The sequence below is a fragment of the Homo sapiens genome, chromosome 12 (genome assembly GCF_000001405.40).
Source record: "Homo sapiens chromosome 12, GRCh38.p14 Primary Assembly".
NCBI lineage: Eukaryota > Metazoa > Chordata > Mammalia > Primates > Hominidae > Homo > Homo sapiens.
In genome coordinates this window covers 71,732,100-71,753,906 of record NC_000012.12, presented here as the reverse complement: position 1 = coordinate 71,753,906, position 21,807 = coordinate 71,732,100, and the positions used below count along the sequence as shown (strand labels likewise).

Below are 21,807 nucleotides of genomic sequence, written 5' to 3'. Positions count from 1 at the left end.
GAGACAGGGTTTCACCATGTTGGCCAGGCTGGTCTTGAACTCTGACCTCAAGTGATCCACCTGCCTCGGCCTCCCAAAGTGCTGGGATTATAGGTGTGAGCCACCACGCCCGGCCTGCCTCCAAGAAACCATACTCCTCCAAGAAATCATACTAATATTTCTGAAAATTTACTGGAAACCTGGTGTCAGGTAAACATTTTTTTAAAAATCAAACTTCTTTCACACTTCAAACCAGGTTAAAAAAAAAAAAAGAGGCCGGGCGTGGTGGCTCATGCCTGTAATCCCAGCACTTTGGGAGGCCGAGGCGGGCGGATCACAAGGTCAGGAGATCGAGACCATCCTGGCCAACATGGTGAAACCCCATCTCTACTAAAATACAAAAAATTAGCTGGGCATGGTGGCACAAGCCTATAATCCCAGCTACTCGGGAGACTGAGGCAGGGGAAGCGCTTGAACCCGGGAGGCAGAGGTGGCAGTGAGCCGAGATCGCGCCACTGCACTCTAGCCTGGCGACAGAGGAAGACTCCGTCTCAAAAAAAAAAAAAAAAAAAAAGAGAGTCGGTTAATTCATTCAACAAATATTTAAATGTGCCCACCATATGCCAGGCACTGTGATCAACAAGATAAAATGTCTCTGTCCTCACAGAGCTTACATTTTATCAGGGAAGACAGACATACTCAATTGTACAATAAATGCTTTCATCTTGATGAAACAGTTCAGAGTATCTTGCAAGCATATATGAGAACCCAACTGATTTAGCATGCTAGAGAAGCTTTCCCTGGAGAAAGTTATCTTTGGGTAAGAGTAACCTAGTCAGGAAGGACAGGAGAGCTCTGCAAACAGAGATAACAGCATGTTCAATGGCTTTAGATAGGAAGGAGCATCTAAAGTTGAGCAACTGTAAATGTGACTAGAATTTAGGGAGGAAAAAAAAACTCCAGAAGAGACCATGAGGAAGTTGGGGATCAATACTGAAAGGGTCTTTAAGCAAATGAAGGATTTTCGTAAGATGACTGACATAATCAGATTTGACCACTCTGGCTATCATTTGAAAAGTGAATTGGAGAAGGATAATATTTTAGATTTGTTTAGAACCAACCATTAAAGAGACTCTATGTTTTATAAAATATCCTCATGATTGTATCTAAAGATATATTTTCCAACTCTCTCCTCCACATTCCTCCCCTTAGGGTCTTTGCACATTTATAGACACTTCCAGAACTAGAAAAGAACTTCATTTTGAGAGAGCACCTTCCATTGTTCTTTCTGAGCACTTCCTCATATTGGATTGAAATCTGCCTCTCTTCACCTGCAATTAATTATTTCTGTTTATATTTATACATTATATATCGAATCCCTATTCCCTATAAACATATGAAGAAGGCTGTGTGTTCTTCCTTTAAGCCTTCTCCTTTCTTCTTTTTGATACAGCCAATCCTTTCAACAACTTTTCAAATTGTGTGCATTTGATTATTTAACAGCTTGGTCATCTTAGAAACTAAATGCATTACTTTGCATTTATCACTAAATCAAAGCAATTAAAAATTTTTTTATTGTAAAACAAAATAATTTTTTTGTGAGACAGGATCTCACTCTGCTGCCCAGGCTGGAGTACAGTGCCACAATCACAGCTCACTGCAACCTCAACCTCCTGGGCTCCAGCAATCCTCCCACCTCAGCCTCCCGAGTAGCTGGGACTGCAGGTGTGTGCCACCACACCTGGTTAATTTTTTAATTTTTTTTGTAGAGACGATATCTTGCGTGTCTTGCTGTGTTGCCCAGGCTGGTCTTGAACTCCTGGGCTCAAGCAATCCTCCAGCCTCAGCTTCCCAAAGTGCTGGGATTACAGGTATAAGCCACCACACTCAGCCAAAATAATTTTCGAAGTTAAAATAAGTTTTTACATTTAGCTTACGTTGACATTTAAGAAGGTAGTGCAAGTTTTCATGGGTTACAATAAGTAGGTTGGCATACTTTTGAGCACAGAGTGGGTAAATATAGATGTAAATTGTAATAGGCTGATAACGGCCCCTAAAGATATCAGCTCCTAGATTCCGGAGCCTGTAGATGTTACCTTATTTGGGAAACAGGTCTTTTTGATTTAAGTTAAGGATCTTGAGATGGGGAGATTATCTGGGTGGGCCCTAACTGCAATCACAAGTATCCTTATAAGAGAGAGGCAGAAAGAGATGCTTCACACCCAGAAGAGGAGAAGGCAGTGTGACCATAGAGGCAGATTATGGAGCAATGTAGCCATAAGCCAAGGAATGCTTACAGCCACCAGAGCTGGAAAAGACAAGAAGCCCCTAGAGCCTCTGGAGGGGGTTCAGCCCTGCAGATATGCTGATTTTAGCCTAGTGAAACTAATTTTGATTCCTGACCTCCAGAACTAAAAGAGAATAAATGTGTGTTGTATTAAGCTACCAAGTTTGTGATCATTTGTTACAGCAGCCATAAGAAACGTACTTAAGTATGTTGTGAGAAAACAAGTAGCCCATAACAGTCAAAGCATTGAAAGAGATTCAGGCCAATTCTGGGATAGATTCTACGCCCTTAAGAATTTAGGTCAGTCTTAGAGTCAACTATGATTGGTCTGTATAAACTTAACACGGACTGCCACAAAAAAAAAAAAACACTAGAGCTCCAGTTCCTCCGTAGAGAAGAGCTGCAAAAATATGGGGACACTTCAGTGAGTGCATAACTCAAAACATATTCCTGAATGGTGAGGACTGAGGCATGATAGGGTGCAAATTCATGTAGCTCCTCTTCCCCCAGTAAAAAACAGGAATAATTATACAGGTGAAATCAAGTTAACAATGAACATGCAGCACAATATCAAATGGGGAAAAATTGTTGCACAGAGGTAAAATGCAGCTTTAATTCTGTAGGCGGGAAAGAACAACCTCACCCATTTTGTGGTGGTTATAAAGTTGAGTTTATGGACTACTTATAATGTATATGAGACCTAGTTTTTGGAATGACTCTTCCTTTCTCCCCCTGTTCTTGCACTACGTTTGTGAATTAAGACCAATGTCCTGGGCCGGGCATGGTAGCTCATACTTGTAATCTTAGCACTTTGGGAGGCTGAGGCAGGAGGATCGCTTGAAGCCAGGAGTTCAAGACCATCCTGGGCAACATAGCAAGATCCTGTCTCTACAATATTTTTTGTTTTGAGACAGAGTCTCACTCTGTTGCCCAGGCTGGAGTGCAGTGGCACAATCTTGGCTCACTGCAGCCTCGACCTCCTGTGCTCAAGTGATCCTCCCCCCTCATCCTCCTGAGTAGCTAGTACTACAGGTACACACCAACATGCCTGGCTAATTTGTTTGTATTTGTAGAGATGGGGTTTCACTGTGTTGCCCAGACTGGTCTTGAACTCCTGGGCTCAAGTGATCCGCCTGCCTCAGCCTCCCAAAGTGCTGGAATTACAGGAGTGAGCCGCTGTGCCTGGCCCTGCAATACATTTTAGAAAATAAGTAGGCATAGTGGCATGCACCTATAGTTCCAGCTATGTGGGAGGATCACTTGAGCCTAGAAGTTCAAAACTACAGTGAGCTATGTTCATGCCACTGTACTCCAGCCTGGATGATAAAACAAGACCCCATCTGCAAGGAAAAACAAAAAAAAGACCAATATCATGAATCCCAGTATGATCATATAACCATGTAGAGACCTCAATTGTTGAATTTTGATGAAATAGCTAGAGTCAAGGAGTCAGATAATTCTTATTTTTCATTTGGAATGGAGGATTGTCAATGGCCTTTGTATATCTCTGGTTCATTCATCCTTCACTCATTCATTTACCATTGAAAAAATATATGGTGAGAGATGAATGTAAAGAGGTAAATAAGATTCTATACAACCTTGAAAGTCATGCTTGGGCTTTACTATAGGAACAATGAGAAGTCTTTTAGGACAGTGTGACATAAAATGCAGTCTTCAGGGCAACAGCAGCAGTTAGAAGCTTGTTAGAAATACAATTCTGCCATCCCCCACCCCCATTAAATCAGAATTTCTGCAACTGAATCCAAGAAGAAACTTTTCTTTCACAATCCCTCCTTGTGATTCTTATTCATGGTAAAGTTTGTAAAGCACTGACTTGGAAGGTAGAGTTAACAAGACTTGGGGAACAATGGTTACGAAAAGTGAGAAAGTTAGAGACAGGGAGGAATAAAAAATGAATCCTGCAGTTTTGGTTTAGTCAACTGGTAAATGGTGATGACTTTCACTGGAATAAAAAACACAGGAGGAAGAAAACATTTTTTGATTGTACTTTCTTGGTTTTGTACATTTTGATTTTGAAGTGCCTGAGGTATTCTCAAGTATAAATATCTAGTAGGCAATTGGTTTTATGAACCAGCAGCTTAGGAGAGAGATCTGGGCTTGAGAAAAGGACAAAGACATCATCAATGCACAGAGAGAAATAGCTTCCACAGGGGTAGAGGAGATCACCCAGGGAGAGTGTATAAAGTGAGAGGGTCAGAGGGCCTAGGACAGAGCACCTGAGAACAATGACTTTTAAGAGATGGGTAGAGGAACAGGAGCTGCAAAGAGATACACAAAGAAATTAGAGGAAAACTGGGGAAGTTAATGTCAAGGAGAGAAGAGAACATTCTAAGAAAAAGGGAATCATGAAATGTTTTGGAGAGGTGAAGTTAAGTATGGACTGGTCTTTATGTGTCTTAAGTATCTACTGGTTTAGCTACAAGAGAGCAATTTGAAATTTTGATTTGAACGGTTTCAACTGAGTGGTAGGAGTTGAAATAAACTTGCTCAGGAACTTAACTAAAGATGGTTGATTTAGTCTACTAGTTCTTAACCAGGGGTAATTATGCTCCTCAGGGAACATTTGGTAATATCTGGTGATATTTTGTCTACTGGCATTTAGTGGGAAGAGGCTAGAGATGCATTTAAACATTTGACAATGCACAAGACAGTGCCCCACAACAAGTGCCCCAGCCCAAAATGTCAATGTTGCCAAGGTCAAGAAACCCTACTTTAGCCTAATGAAGTGTGTATATTTTTACAGCCCGTCATAATTATAAATCCACTGGTTATATTAAGTTATGGAGGCAAACAGAGAGTAGGGCTGAACAAGTAGTAAAAGAATAAGAAACTCAAAAGCTCGAAGAAACTATTTCCAACTTTGCCAGTATTATCTATGCATGTCTTTCACATAGTCATTTAAGTATTTTCTCAGCTTCATTTCTCCACGTAGAATTATCTTGTATCCCCAAGGCACTTTTAATCCTCCATTGAACATTGGTTCCTTTTAGCAACTGTTACAGAAAATACATTCTTATTCTAATTAGATTTTTCCTCAGAGACAAAAGGAGAATTCAAAAACACTTTTATAACTACTTGGAGAAATTCTAGTACTTACAGATGCACTGTTTCTATATCACTTTTCTACAAGTACAAGAAATTTCAAGGAATTTGGGTTAATATACTATAATATGCATCCTTTCAAAAAAGAATAAGTTGAGTATTAGGAGCTAAAGTGTAGAAAAACAGGAGTACAACAGGAGAGATAAACGAACCTGAAGAAAAACAAAACAAAACACGATTCCTGCAGCTGCCACAGTGGAGGGAGCTGAAATTGGGGGTTTGCCAGCAAAGCAGGGATTTTGTCTGCTATGCGCTAGAACTGTGTCTGTCACATTTTTGTATCTCCAGTTTCTGGAATGTAGTGCTCAATTAATATGTGTTAACTGAAACAAAGGAATGAATGGAGCTAAGCCTATAAAATACTGTGTATTAAAAATGAGGTTTGAGAAATACTCCTGGGCATATGGAGCATTGTTAAATAAAATTTACTCAAAGCAGCCGGGTGTGGTGGCTCATGTCTGTAATCCCAGCACTGTGGGAGGCCCAGGCAAGTGGATGACACGAGGTCAGAAGTTTGAGACCAGCCTGGCCAACATGGTGAAGCCCCATCTCTACTAAAAATACAAAAAATAAGCCAGGCGTGGTGGTGGGTGCCTGTAATCCCAGCTACTCGGAAGGCTGAGGCAGGAGAATCGTTTGAACCGGGAGGTAGAGGTTGCAGTGAGCCGAGTTCGCACTACTGCACTCCAGCTTGGGCAACAGAGCAAGACTCCATCTCAAAAAAAAAAAAAAAAAAAAATTTACTCAAAGCATTTTCCATCTTAAGCCTCTAATAAGGGTAATAGAATAGCAGCTATCAACTAATGTGTAATTTCTATGAATGAATCCCATTTATTCCTTTATTGCTCAATCATTCAGCAACCTTTGTTGTTGAGTGCCTGGCAAGATGTCTCTGCCATCATGGAGCTCATATTCTAGTGTGGGAGGCAACACAGAAACAATTACAATATGTGTAGTGATCATGTTTGATATCTACCCAGCATGCACACCCCTTTCTCCTTTCAATCAAAATCCAGTCCCTGCTTAGCTATCTACCCTCCCCGGTGTAGCCCAGGTCCCCACAGCTTTGGGTCAGTTCTAATCTCATTCCCCTAGGTTCTTTGCAGCTTTTTTTTTTTTTTCTTAATAGAGATGGAGGTCTCACTATGTTGTCCAGGCCGGTCTAGAACTCCTGGGCTCAAGTGATCCTCCTGCTTCGGCCTCCTGAGTAGCTGGGATTACAGGTGAATGCCACCATGCCTGGCCTCTGCAGCTTCCAAAGCCACTATTTGTACATCTGAAGCAATCTTTCAAATGCTTCTCACTGGCAATAAACTGAGCTGTAATTGTAGTCACTGGCCACAGAGAGGCACTAGCAGCCCAATAAAATTTACCAGGTTGGCCAGCATACATTTAAAGCTGCCAGCGTAATTCAAAATTTAGGTGTCCTTCAACATTAAAAAGAAGGAAACCATGGGGAGATTTTTTTCTGAGTTGTAGAAAACAAGAATATTCCAAAATCCTATGACTCTTGGGTGGAAAAGGGGAGAAGATACAGTTCACAAGCCATTTTTCCCTAAGTTGTTAACTAAAAGTGTCCCAAGAAACTTTACATATGTTTGTCAAAGAAGGAATTTAAGTCCAATGTTCAGCTTCTCAGATCTTTCCACCAGTTTCTACTAAAAATATACACTCTCAAGAGTTAAAAAGGGAAGGCAAGTAAAGAAACCGAAAACGTTGTTTAGTCATAAATATGTAAAGTCGTTCCTCAGTATTCATGGGGGATTTGTTCCAGGGTTCCTCATGGATACCAAAATCCATGAATGCTCAAGTCTGTTATATAAAATGGTGTAGTATTTGCATATACCCTATGCACATCCGAGTTTCACTCTGGTTGCCCAGGCTGGAGTGCAGTGGCGTGATCTTGCCTCACTGTAACCTCCACCTCCTGGATTCAAGTGATTCTTCTGCCTCAGCCTCCCGAGTAGCTGGGATTACAGGTGCTCACCACCACGCCTGGCTAATTTTTGTGTTTTTAGTAGAGATGGGGTTTCACCACATTGGCCAGGCTGGTCTCAAACTCCTGACTTCAGGTGATCCACCCACCTCAGCCTCCCAACTTTCTGTATACTTTAAATCATCTGTAGATTACTTATAATACCTAATACATTGTAAATGCTATGTAAATAGTTGTTATACTACATCGTTTAGGGAATAATGACAAGGAAAAAAGTCTGTACATGTGGAGTACAGACATTTTCTTTCTTGAATATTTTCTATCCTCAGTTGGTTGAATCCACAGGTGCAGAACCCACAAATGGTGGGCCAATTGTATTTTATTTTGCCTTTAGAAATTGTATTTTGAAATAACCATGGCATGAAGCTTACCTAATTATATCAGATGGAAGTGTATGTTTGAGATGATTGGTAATAGGATGTATAACAGCAATTTTTTTTTTTTGAGATGGATTTTCACTCTTGTTTCCTGGGCTGGAGTGCAATGGTACAATCTTAGCTCACCGCAAACTCCGCCTCCCAAGTTCAAGCGATTCTCCTGCCTCAGCCTCCCAAGTAGCTGGGATTACAGGCATGTACCACCAAGCCCGGCTAACTTTGTATTTTTAGTAGAGACGGGGTTTCTCCATGTTAGTCAGGCTGGTCTCGAACCCCCAACCTCAGGTGATCCGCCCACCTCGGCCTCCCAAAGTGAACAGCAATTTTTTAATTACTAAAAAGTTTCAGTTCAGAATGGTAACAGTCTCAATGAGTCAGTCTGCAGTATGTTGATTTTTAAAAACTAGATGCCACTAGTCATATGAAACTGGAAATTCTAGAGATATTTGTCTATTTGAGATGGGCCTGAATGACTATTCTTTCGCATCTTCTTGAGAAATCAGTCAGTGTAGAGAATTTTAAAAGCCTCTTTAATAAAGAAATTGCTTTGCCCTGGTGAAATAATTTGGCTGAGGATTCTTACAGATTTGTGATGTTGAGATTGGAGAGCTTTGGGATAGCTGTAGTCGAATGGGAAGTTTGTAAGTATTAATACTAGTGTATACTGAGAATTATACCATTCAGTACCACTTATTTGAGTGTTTTTTCCTATTGGTTACTCATTCCTACTTGGAAAAGATTTTAATTAAAATCCAGCTGTTGTTAGGCCAGGCGCAGTAGCTTGCACTGTAATCCCAGCACTTTGGGAGGCCAAGGCAAGAGGATCACTTGAGGCCAGGAGTTTAAGACCAGCCTGGGCAACATAGTGAGACCCCCCCATCATCTCTACCAAAAATTTTTAAAAAAATAAAATCAGCTAGGCATGGTGGTGCGCATCTGTAGTCCCAACTACCTTCAAGGCTTAGATGGAAGGATCACTTGAGCTTAGGAGTTTGAGGCCACAGTGAGCTATGATCATGACATTGCATTCCAGCCTGGGTGACAGAGCAAGACCTTATCTCTAAAACAAAACAAAATCTTACCATTCTCCTATACCCCTTTTTAAGTACTTCCTAGCATGTATTATTGAGTATTATAATTACTTATTTATCAGTACTAAAGATGTAAGTTCCTGAACTAGTCGAGATCTGCCTGTTTTGCTTACCATTATATCCCATGTATAGAATAATGACTGAAACACAGTAGGTGCAAAATAAATGGCTAAAGGTATTATTCTTATGACTTCATTTTCACTATTTTTTTTTTTTTGGCTTTTGTGCAAACTTCCATTTCCTTGAACTTCCAAGCGCAGCCTCCCTCCCCAGTCCATCCACCAGTCCTCTCTTGGTCTCTCTCCCTCTCCCTGACTTCTAGCTGCCTCATACTCCCACGCTGCTCACAACCAGGTTCAGACTCCGCATTGAGTATCTAAACTCTTACCAGCACATTTCATTTTCATATATCCTTATATTTACACTGCATCATCACAAAACACCAACCTTAAAGTGAACTTCTGGAACAATTTTCTAAGCCACCTGAATTTTGTGCATCAATACAAATTCATAGTTACTAACTTCATTCTCAGGGCTATCAGTCCCTATATTCCTCTGGCTTCAGCTTCCTCTCTTATTCTCCTTTACCACTATTATGAACTTTCCTCAGTCTACTTCTGGTCCTAATTAGAGTTGTTCATAGCATACCCTTATTATCCTTTAGTGTCTGTGGGTCTGTAGAGATCTTCCCTCTTTTATTCTTCATATTGGTTATTAAGTATTCTCAGTTTCTTGGTCAGTCAAGTTAGAGATTTATCAATTTTAATTATTTTTCTAAGAGTCCACTTTGGTTTTATTGATTTTTCTCCACTATTTTTCAATTCTCAATTTCATGGATTTCTGCTGTTTATTATTTCTTACTTCCTGCTTGCTTTGGGTTTAATTTGCTCTTCTTTCTCCAGTTTCTTAACATGGAAAATTAGATGACTGACTTGAGATCTTTATTCTTTCCTATTATAAGTACTTAATGCTATATATTTCTAAGCACTGTTTTAGGTGCATCCATAAATTTCAACATGGTATATTTTCATTTTCATTCAGTTAAAAATATATATATTTAGTCAGGTGTGGTGGCTCACGCCTGTAATCCCAGCACTTTGGGAGGCTGAGGTGGGCAGATCACCTGAGTTCTGGAGTTCAAGACCAGCTTAGCCAACATGGTCAAACCCTGTCTCCACTAAAAATACAAAAATTAGCCAGGCATAGTGGCACAGGCCTGTAGCCCCAGATACTCGGGAGGCTGAGGCAGGAGAATTGCTTAAACCCAGGAAACAGAGGTTGCAGTGAGCTGAGAGTGTGCCACTGAACTCCAGCCTGGGTGACAAAATATATATAATTTAATATATACATACATATATTATATATATAATTTAATATATACATACATATATTATATATATAATTTAATATATACATACATATATATTATATATAATTTAATATATACATACATATATATTATATATAATTTAATATATACATACATATATTATATATAATTTAATATATACATACATATATTAAATTATATGTAAATTATAATATACATACATATATTAAATTATATAGAAATATAAATATATATTTATATGTTATAAATATAATTCAACATTTAAAAGATGTATTTATTAATATATCTGTTAATGAATATATTTATTAATAAAATATTTATTAATAGGTATAGTGATATATTTATTACTAGATATCTATCGATATATTTATTAATAGATGTATTTATTGATATAATATTTATTAATAGATATTTATTGATAAAATATTAATAGATGTATTGGCTAATATATTTATTAATAAATATATAATTTATATTAAATATACTATATATAATTTAATTTCCCTTGAGACTTTCACTCTGATGGTTGGGTTATTGTAGAAAGCAGAATAATGCCCTCCCCCTGCCCTGGCCACAAGATATCTACATCCCAATTCCTGGAACCTGTGAATATGTTAAGTTATGTGGCAAAGAGGGGAATTAAGGTTGCAGATAGAATTAAAGTTGCTCATCATCTGACCCTAAAATAGTAAGAGTACCTTGGATTACCCAGGTGTTTCCAGTAATTACACGATTCTTTAAAGTGGAAGTGAGAGTTAGAGATGTGATTACAAAAGCAAAATCAGAGTTATGGGATCCACCATTGTGAGCTTTGAAGATGTAGGAAAAGAACCTATGAACTAAGGAATGTGGGTGGCCTCTGGGAGCTGAAAAAGGCAAAGAAAATGACTCTCCCCTATATCCTCCAGACAGGAATGCAGCCCTTCCTATACTTTAACTTAATTTAATTTAATTTATTTATTTTGATACAGTATCTCACTCTGTCGCCCAGGCTGGAGTGCAGTGGCGTGATCTCGGCTCACTGCAATCTCCATCTCTGGGGTTCAAGCAATTCTCATGCCTCAGCTTCCCGAGTAGCTGGGATTACAGGTGTGTGCCAACATGCCCCACTAATTTTTGTATTTTTAGTAGAGACAGGGTTTTTCCATGTTGGCCAGGCTGGTCTCAAACTCCTAATCTTAAGTGATTTGCCCACCTTGGCCTCCCAAAGTGCTAGGATTACAGGGGTGAGCCACCGTGCCCAGCCCCTGTACCTTCATTTTAACCTAGTGACACCCATGTTAGACTTCTTACCTACAGAACTGTAAGATAATAAATTTGTGTTTTTTTAAGCCACTAAAATCATGATAATTCCATTACAGCAGCAATAGAAAGTGATACAGCGATGTTAAAATGTGTCATTTAATTTCCAAATATTTGGAGATTTGCCATAACATCTCTTTCTGTCATTGATTTATAATTTGATTGTTATGGCTTGAGAACATACTTCATATGATTTTTATTCTTTGATTTGCAGTCTGACCTCTGTATCCACTGGTTCCATATTTGAGGATTCAACCAACCACAGACAAAAAATATTTTAAGAAATAAAAAGGGCAGGTATGGTGGCTCATGCCTGTTATCCCAGGACTTTAGCAGGCCAAGGCAGGAGGATTACTTGAGCCCAGGAGTTCAAGACCAGCCTGGGCAATGTAGTGACACCTCATCTCTAAAAAAAGAAAAAAAAAAAAACCAACAACAACCAGAAAAACAACTAGCCAAGGATGGTGGCATGCACCTGTAATCCCAGCTACTCAGGAGGCTGGGGTGGGAGGATTGCTTGAGCCTGGGAGGTTGAGGCTGCAATGAGCCGAGATTGTGTCCCTGTACTCTAGCCTGGGCAACAGAGCCATACATCGTCTCAAAAAAATTAAAATTACAAATTACAATACAACAATAAAAAGTAATACAAATAAAAACCAATACAGTATAACAACTATTTACATAGCATTCACATTGTAGTAGGTATTATGAACTCTCATTTGAAGTATATAGGAGGATGGGCATAGGTTAGACACAAACACTACTCAGATTTTTGTTTCCTCTCAGGTTCCTGGAACCAATCTCCTTTGGATGCTGACAGATGACTGTAGTTTAAGTGTCTCATTGCCAAGATTTTGATCTATCTTCGTGAACGTTTTAAGTGTATTTGAAAGGAATGTGCACTATGCTGTTGTTGAATGAAGTTTTTTATAAATGTCAGCTAGGTCAAGTTGATTGATAAAGTTGTTGAGATCTTTTCTATTTTTATTGATTTTCTGTCTCCTCAAATCTCCAACTTCAATTGTGGATTTGTCCATTTCTCCTTCCAGTTCTGTTAGGTTTGTTTTTGTTTGTTTTGTTTATCTGTTTGTTTGTTTCTTTGAAGACAGGATCTGGCTCTGTCACCCAGACTAGCGTGCAGTGGTAGGATCTCAGCTAACTGTAACAACCTCTGCCTCCCAAGCTCAAGCTATCCTCCCACCTCAGCCTCCCAAGTAGCTGGGACCGTAGGTATGCACCACCATGCCCAGCTAATTTTTGTATTCTTTATAGAGATAGGGGTCTCACTTTGTTGCCCAGACTGGTCTTGAACTCCTGAGCTCAAGTGATCCACCTGCCTTGGCTTCCCAAAGTGCTGGTATTTCAGGTGTGAGCCACCATGCCTGGCCAACAGTTCTATTAGTTTTTGTTTCACGTATTTGAAACTCTATTTTTAGGTGCATCCACATTTTGGATTTCTGTCTTCTTGGAAAATTAATCCCTCTATTATTATGTAATGTACCTATTTATTCTTGATATTATTCCTTGTTTCGAAGTCTACTGTGTTTGATATTAATATAGATATTATAGCATTCTTTTCATTGTTGTTTGCAGGGTATATTTTTTTCTATCCTTCTACTTTTGTTTGTTTGAGATGGAGCCTCGCTCTGTCGCCGGGCTGGAGTGCAATTGCACGATCTTGGCTCACTGCAACCTCTGCCTCCCAGGTTCAAGGGATTCTCCTGCCTCACCCTCCCGAGTAGCTGGGACTACAGCATGCGCCACCACACCCAGCTAATTTTTGTATTTTTAGTAGAGACGGGGTTTCACCATGTTGGCCAGGATGGTCTCAATCTCTTGACCTTGTGATCTGCCCGCCTTGGCCTCCCAAAGTGCTGGTATTACAGGCGTGAGCCACCATGCCTAGCTATCCTTCTACTTTTAATCTATGTCTATGGGTTTCTTATAGAAAGCATATAGTTGAGCCTTGCTTTTTAATCTGGTCTGAAAATCTCTGTCTTTTAATTGGTATTCCCAGTCCAAATTAAGCCCATTAACAGGTACTGTCAGTAGATGACTTTGCCTTCTTGATTACTAAAAACTAGATTGATAGATATGTTCTCCCTCAACTTTCAATTCTCCTACTTAATAATAATGGCAATGGTTGCAATTATTCAGAATTTTCCATGTACTAGACTTCTTTTTACATGTATTAACTAATTTAATCCTAATAACAATTTTATGAGCATTATTAGTATTGTCCCAATTTACAGATTAAGAAAACCAAGTGACAGCCAGGCATGGTGGCTCACGCCTGTAATCCCAGCACTTTGGGAGGCGGAGGCAGGTGGATCATGAGGTCAAGAGATCGAGACCATCCTGGCCAACCTAGTGAAACCCTGTCTCTACTAAAAATACAAAAATTAGCTGGGCGTGGTGGTGCGCACCTTAGTCCCAGCTACTCGGAGGGAGGCTGAGGCAGGAGAATTGTTCGAACCTGGGATGTGGAGGTTGCAGTGAGCTGAGATCGCGCCACTGCACTCCAGCCTGGCAACAAACCAAGACTCCATCTAAAAAGAAAAAGAAAAGAAAACCAAGTGACAGAGAGGTTTAAGTAACTGGATCAAGATCACACTAAGAAACATTAGAGCAGTTTCCAAATGCAAGCACTAGGGCTTCAGGTATTAATCCCACACTATATTTCTTCACCACCTTTAACGGGGTTTCTTCCATTTCTTCTTCTTCTTCTTTTATTTATTTATTTATTTTTTAGATGGAGTCTCTGTCACCCAGGCTGGAGTGCAGTGCAGCGGCACAATCTCAGCTCACTGCAACCTCCGCCTCCTAGGTTCAAGTGATTCTCCTGCCTCAGCCTCTGAGTAGCTGGGATATCAGGCACGCATCACCAGGCCTGGCTAATTTTTATATTTTTAGTAGAGATGAGATTCACCATGTTGGCCAGGCTGGTCTCGAACTCCTGACCTCAAGTGATCCGCCTGCCTCGGCCTCCCAAAGTGCTAGGATTACAGGCTTGAGCCACCACGCCCGGCCTCTTCTTCCATTTCTAATCCACATTTCAAGAAGGATGTCTTCATGCATTGTCTCTACTTTTTTCACTTCTTAACCATGCCATCTGCTCCCATAGTACTATTCTGATATAATTAACCATAATCTTCATATTGCCAAATCCAATAGACATTTCTTAGTTATTCCTCTGGCATTTTCTGCTGTATTTGACTTTACAAATTTCTCTCCTCTAAACTGCATTAGATATTTCTTCTCTGTGTTCCCATAATGCCCTATATACATTCTTATTTTTGCAGTTATATAATGTATCATAATGAAATGCTCAGAAGTATTATGGTCTAAATGGGCCCCTTAAAATTCTTATGTTGAAACTTAATCGGCAATGTGATACTAAAAGATGGAGTCCTGTAAGAAGTGATTAAGTCATGAGGGCAGAACCCTAATGGATGGGATAGGGCCTTTAGAAGAAGACTTGAGAAAATGGATTCACTCTTCTCACTTTTTCCACCATGTGAAAGGACATAGTGTTCATCCCCCTTTTGCCCTTCCATCCTTTCTGACATGTGATGACACCTAGATGGTGCCATCTATGAGGAAAATGCCCTCACCAGACACAGAACCTTGATCTTGGACTTCCCAGCCACCAGAACTGTGGGAAATAAGTTCAGCTCTTTATAAATTACCCAATCTGTGTTATATTGTGATAGCAGCACAGGTGGACTAAGACAAGGAGCTGGACTGTTCACTGTGTCATAAGCTCCCTGACATCAGATGCTGTTTCTTCTCTATATTTGTATGTCCAGTGCCTACTATAGTGCCTGGCACATTGTAGGCATTAAAAAATAGTTTGTTAAATCAATAAATAACTGAAAACCATTTATTAATAATGGGTATATTATTTGTTGTCACTTTTACAGCAGCAAACACGAAAATCTCTCCAGGCATAGATTTTATGAGCTATATTATTATTATTTTTTGAGACGGAGTCTCGTTCTGTTGCTCTGGCTGGAGTGCAGTGGCACGATCTCAGCTCACTGCAACCTCCACCTCCTGGGTTCAAGCAATTCTCCTGCTTCAGCCCCTCAAGTAGCTGGGATTACAGGCCCCCGCCATCACACCTGGGTAATTTTTGTATTTTTAGTAGAAACAGCGTTTTACCATGTGGGCCAGGCTGGTCTCAAACTCCTGACCTCAAGTGATCCACCCGCTTCGGCCTCCCAAAGTGCTGGGATTATAGGCATAAGCCACTGCGCCAGGCCAGCTGTATTATTTTTTATGATTCAATAAGGAGATAAAGCTTGGCTGAAACTCAACGATTCTTCTCTTCCCCAATAGGACCCCTTATGATGCTCTGTGGAAAAAGGGAAATTAAATATGTTAATTTGTCAATTAACAAATAAATAAATAAATTGATATTATGGCCTTATAATAATACCCCCGGCATGATTTTCATTAGAAAGACTATTGCCATGAACTATGGGCTTGACAGCATTAATATAGCATCTTACTGCCTCCATCCTCATGCGCTTTCTTTCATGTTCAAAAGCAAAGGAAGTTTCATCAACCATTTTCAATCACTGACTCTGTAAGTTCAAGAATTTCAGGGACTGCTACAAAGAATCAGTTTGATTATTAAGTCAAAGCTAGACTTTTGCTTTCATGCTTAAAGAAGTAACTACTCTGGGACTCCTCTCCCTCCTACTGTAGACAACAAGAAACAGGGTGGAGAGGGTGGAATTAAACAAATGGACAACAGGCAGCACAGGACTGTGATCTTTGAGTGAAGGGAAATAATCTAGATGAGCATTTTAACTGCACTGGCTTTCTGTCTGGGGACAATTTCTAACCACAGTGTAGGAAGGTCTCATTAAGATGGGATGATAGTAATTGAAGTTCAGGGGTTCCGAAGCAGCTAAAATTTGTGGGACAGTAAAAAGGAGAGAAAGGAGCTAGAAAAAGAACTCCAGAAATTTGCATAGGGTTTCCTCCCTTGAGTCTTTGAGACTAAATTCAAATCTGTGTGCCTGAAGGGTGAAACTCCATGAGGCTGGGCAAAGAACAAATGCTGTGGAATGAACATTTACAGAGGTGCTGTAATGTAGAAAATTTTTAGAACTCCCAAAAGCCTGGGGATCATTTTAGTGCCCATCAGAGAAAGTAGAGAGACCTCATTGAATAAATGGGCCATTGAGTAGAGATCCCAGAGGGTTTCAGCTTAATAGTAGAGCTAAACTAGTTCTACAGTAAAGGCTACCTCTACTTACCTTAAAACACGTAAAATCAAACCTTGAAAAGATGAAGTTGATCCAAAAGTCACTTAATTACCTTCCAGAATAAAGTTGCATACTCCATAGGAATACTACAATAACTTTAAAGGAATATTACAAAAAACTCATGAAGACAGAAATCACAGTTCGGGGAGATTAGGCTGCTAGAATTGTGAGACAGAGAACTAGAGGGTAGGGCATTGAGTAGAGACAGACTTCTGCAGAACTGTAGAGGGGTTTCATAAAATATTTGACTAAGTACTGATTTGCACGCGACTGAAAGGAATTTTGGAAGTAGACACCGGAAAAGAATGAGCAAAATAATTACCAGCATTCATACAGAGAATAATTTGTGTTCCCACCAGTTGGATTGGAGAGGCCTTGTCATAGACAGGGCATCAGGTACAGCCCTCAGAAGAGTCAGGCCTTAGGAGTGTGGACAAACAGCCAAGTAAAGTCTTCTCTGGACCCACCATAACAAGCTTAATACAAAGCCTCAAATGGTTCAAACTAATCCTCAGGTGTATTAAAGTGAACATCAGAACAAAAATCAAAACTCTTTAAAAGGATACAAAAATTCAGTACTTCACAATGTAAAGTTCACAATGTCCAGCATCTAACAAAAAATGGCTCAGCCTGCAAAGAAGCAGAAAATATGATCCATAACTAGGATAAAAATTAGTCAATAGAAATGGGACAAGAAACGACAGAAGTGATGTAATTGGCGAGCAAAAACATTAAAACAGCTACTATAAATTTAAAAAATACACAAGTGAATTAAAGGAAAATGTGAACATAAGGAGGAGAGAAATGGAAGACATAAAATATGTTAATAAAATTTTTAGAGATAAAAATATAATTTATTAAATGAAAAATAACCGGATGGGATTAAGAGCCCATTAAACATTGCAGAGGAAACAATCAGTGAACTTGGGTAAGAACAATAGAAACTATGCAAAATGAAGTATACAGAAAAAAGACCAAATATAAGTGAATTGAGCCAAGGGGCAATATCAAGTGGTCTAACGTATATGCAAATGAAATCCTAGCAAAAGATAGGTGAGCAAAAATATTTGAAAGATGGTCAAGTACTTTCTAAATTTGATAAAAACTGTCAATCCAGAGATCCAAAAAAGTCAACAGACCCAAAGTAGAAGCGGTATACAGAAAGCTCCATAAAAGGAAATCAGTTTCAAATTGTTGAAAACCAGTGGAAGAGAAAAGTAGCCAAAGGAACAAAGATTTTTTAAAAAGTAACAATTTTCTCATGAGAAGTTATGCAGACCAGAAAACAATCAAATGGTATCTTTAAAGTGCTAAAAGAAAAAATATTCAACCAGTAATTATCTACCAGTGAAAATGTCTTTCAAAAATGAAGTCATGTCCAATCCTGGAAGCTAAGCATGGTTGGGCCTAGTTAGTACTTGGATGAGAGTACTGTTGAGTGATGTAGGTTTATTAAAAACTAAATTTAAAAATTTTAAAATGAAGTTTAAAATGATTTTCAGATCAATGAAAGCTGACAAAATTCATTGCAAGTAAATGTGCACTATAAGAAAGCTCTCTAGGCAGAAGAAAAATTATGAAAATGTGGATCTGTGCAAAGGAATGAAGAGTACCTGGAATGGGAAATCTTTGAGAAAGAAACATTAAATTTATTCCTCATATTTTAATCTCTTTAAAAGATAATTATTTGTAGCAAAACAGACAAGTAGAGAAAACTCACAATGCCAAAAGTTGCCTCTTTGAAAATATTAAAACAACTGATAAACCTGGCAAGAATAAAAAGAAAGAAAACTCAAATTATTAATATGAGAAATAAAAGAGGGGATATCATGACAGATCTTATGGATATAAAATCCATGAAAGAAAATCTCATGTGAATTAATGCCTACATGAAGTGGAAAAATTCCTGTAAAGACAGGAATTTTAAAATTCCTGTAAAGACAGGAATTTTAAAATTCCTTTAACTGACTCAAAAAAATAGGAAATTTGAATAGCACTATAGCTGTTAAATAAAATGAATTTATGATTTATAAATTTTAAGCAAAGAAAGTGTCAGAGCCAGATGACTTCACTGGTGAATTTTACCAAATATTTAATGGAAGAAATAATACCAATCCTACACAAAGTTTTTCAGAGGATTAAGGACAAAGGAACATTTTCAATTCATTTTATTATGTTTTGTATTTTTATTTTTTATGTTTTTGAGTCAGAGTCTCAATCTGTCACCCAGGCTGCAGTGCAGTAGCATGATCGCATCTCACTGTAGTCTTGACCTCCTGGGCTCGTTTTCCTCTCACTTCAGCCTCCCAAGTAGCTGGGACTACAGGCATTTGCCACCACACCCAGCAAATTTTCTCTATTTTTTTGTTGAGATGGGATCTCCCTATGTTGCCCAGGCTGGTCTCAAACACTTGGGCTCCAGGGTTCCTCCAACCCTGGCCTCCCAAAGTGCTGGGGTTACAGGTGTGAGCCACCATGCCTGGCTGCAGCTGATTTTATGATGCCAGCATTACCCTAAAACGAAAATTAGGCAGAAATTACAAGAAAAAGAAAACCCTGCTGGTCAATATCCCTCATAACTCTAGACACAAGAGTGATTTTTTAAATTGGCAAATTAAATCCAGTAATATATAAAAGGATGATACGCTGTGATTAAGTGGAGTTTATCCCAGTAATCCAGAATAGATTTAACAACAACAATAACAAAAATCAAAGAATGCAACTCACTATACTAACAGAATAAAGGAGGAAAACAATATGATTATTTCAATAGATTCAGAAAAAAACAAAATTCAACACACACTCATGATTAAAACTCTCAGCAAGCTATGAATAGAAGGGACTTTTTCAATCTGTTAAAGAACATCTGTGAAAAACTACAGCTAATATGATAATGGTCAAAGAATGAACATTTTCCCTTTAAGATCAGGAACAAAGCAAGGCTATCTGCTCTCACCGCTTCTATTCAACATTATACTGAAGTTCCTAGACATTTTAATACACCAATAAGAAGAAATAAAAGGCAAAAAGATTGAAAAGAAGTAAAATTCTCTTTACTCATAGAAGATAAGATAGTTGATGTAGGAAATCCTAAGGAATCTATAAAAAAGCTAGTAGAACCACAAACTGAAGTTAGCAAGTCACAAAATATAAGTTTTGTTTTGTTTTGTTTTGTTTTGTTTTGTTTTGTTTTTTGAGACAGAGTCTGGTTCTGTCGCCCAGGCTGGAGTGCAGTGGCGCGATCTCGGCTCACTGCAAGCTCCACCTCCCGGGTTCACGCCATTCTTCTGCCTCAGCCTCCCGAGTAGCTGGGACAAAATGTAAGATTTTTAATGTTAAAAAATCAGTTGTAGGCCGGGCGTGGTTGCCCACGCCTGTAATCCTAGCACTTTGGGAGGCCGAGGCGGGCGGATTGCCTGAGCTCAGGAGTTTGAAACCAGCCTGGGCAACACGGTGAAACCCCAACTCTACTAAAAATATTTTTTAAAAAAATTAGCCGGGCGTGGCAACTTGCACCGGTAGTCCCAGTTACTCGGGAGGCCGAGGCAGGAGAATCGCTTGAACCTGGGAGGCGGAGGTTGCGGTGAGCCGAGATCGCGCCACTGCACTCCAGCCTGGGCGACAGAGCGAGATTCCGTCTCCAAAAAACAAAACGAAACAAAACAAAATCAGTTGTATTTCTTTATAATAGCAACATTTGGAAATCAAAATTAGAAAACAGTTTCTGTCTCTCTCTCTTTTTTTTTTTTGGAAACAGGGTCTCGCTCTGTCACCCAGGCTGGAGTGCAGTGACACGATCTCAGCTCACTGTAATCTCTGCCTCCCAGGCTCAAGCGATCCTCCTGCCTCAGCCCCCGAGTAGCTAGGGCTACAGGTGCTCGCCAACATGGCAGACTAATGTTTGTGCTTTTAGTAGAGACAGGGTTTTGCCATGTTGTCCAGGCTGCTCTTGAACTCCTGGGCTCAAGTGATTCTCCCACCTCGACCTCCCAAAGTGCTGAGATTACAGACAAGAACCACTGCACCCAGGCTCTTTTTTTGTTTTTTATTTTATTTCTTTTCTTTTCTTTTTTTTTTTTTTTTTGAGATAGGCTCTCACTATGTTGCCCAGGCTGGAATGCAGTGGCACAATCATAACTCACTGCAGCCTCAACCTCCCAAACTCAAGTGACCTTCCCACCTCAGCCTCCCAAGTAGTTGGGATCACAAGTGCATCCCACCATGCCCGGCTAATTTATTTTTATTTTTTGTAGCGATGGAGTTTCCCTATGTTGTCCAGGCTGGTCTATGTTGTTCTGGGCTCAACTGATTCTCCCACTTTGGCCTCCCAAAGTTGTGAAATTACAGGTGTGAGCCGCTGGCACAGGCCTCTCTCTCTCTCTCTTTTTTTTTTTTTTTTTGGAGAGATGGGGTCTGTCTTGTTGCCCAGGCTGGTTTCAAATTCCTGGCCTCAAGAGATCCTCCTGCCTCATCCTCCCAAAGTGCTGGGATTACAGGTGTGAGCTAGTGTGTCTGCCCACAATCTCATTTATAATAGCATCCAAAAAAATAAAATACGTAAGACACATTTAACAAAATATGAGCAAGATCTTTGTGGAGGCCAAAGCAACTCCATCTTGGATGCTAATCCACCATGTTGACTTCTGATTAACTCCTGTTCTGGGAAGACCTCTACCATTTCGAGTTTATCTATTGTTCCTTGTGTAACAGCATGTACTTACTGTAAATCTTGCCCTTGGGTCAAAACAACCTTGATGTTGGAACGGAAAGGTTCCTTTGTCCCCCTCACAGGGTGTGCGATGCGGGTTTGGCTCACTTCTTCAGTGCCCCGCTGCTCAGACCTCTAGGGGAGCATACAGACTGGCAGGCTATGGGGTTCCAATCCCACGGCAGTGTCTAAAGGTGAATGTTTGCAGCCGGAGCCCCTGTGGGCGTGTTTTACAGGGTGCTCTTTTAGTTTGCCATCTACTGGCGGCTTGTGTTAAACAGCTCAGTTATACCCTCTACTTTGTCGCAAAGACA

General features: G+C 39.6%; 1 annotated feature.

Moving 5' to 3' along the window:
* Window positions 5,833–6,042: a silencer, noted in NCBI's record as "fragment chr12:72141645-72141854 (GRCh37/hg19 assembly coordinates)". NCBI's record gives its function as "represses an EF-1alpha promoter that drives an FKBP-Casp9 reporter gene in an ReSE screen in phorbol 12-myristate 13-acetate-treated (for megakaryocytic differentiation) K562 erythroleukemia cells {active_cell/tissue: K562(+PMA)}" and the evidence as "EXISTENCE:reporter gene assay evidence [ECO:0000049][PMID:32094911]".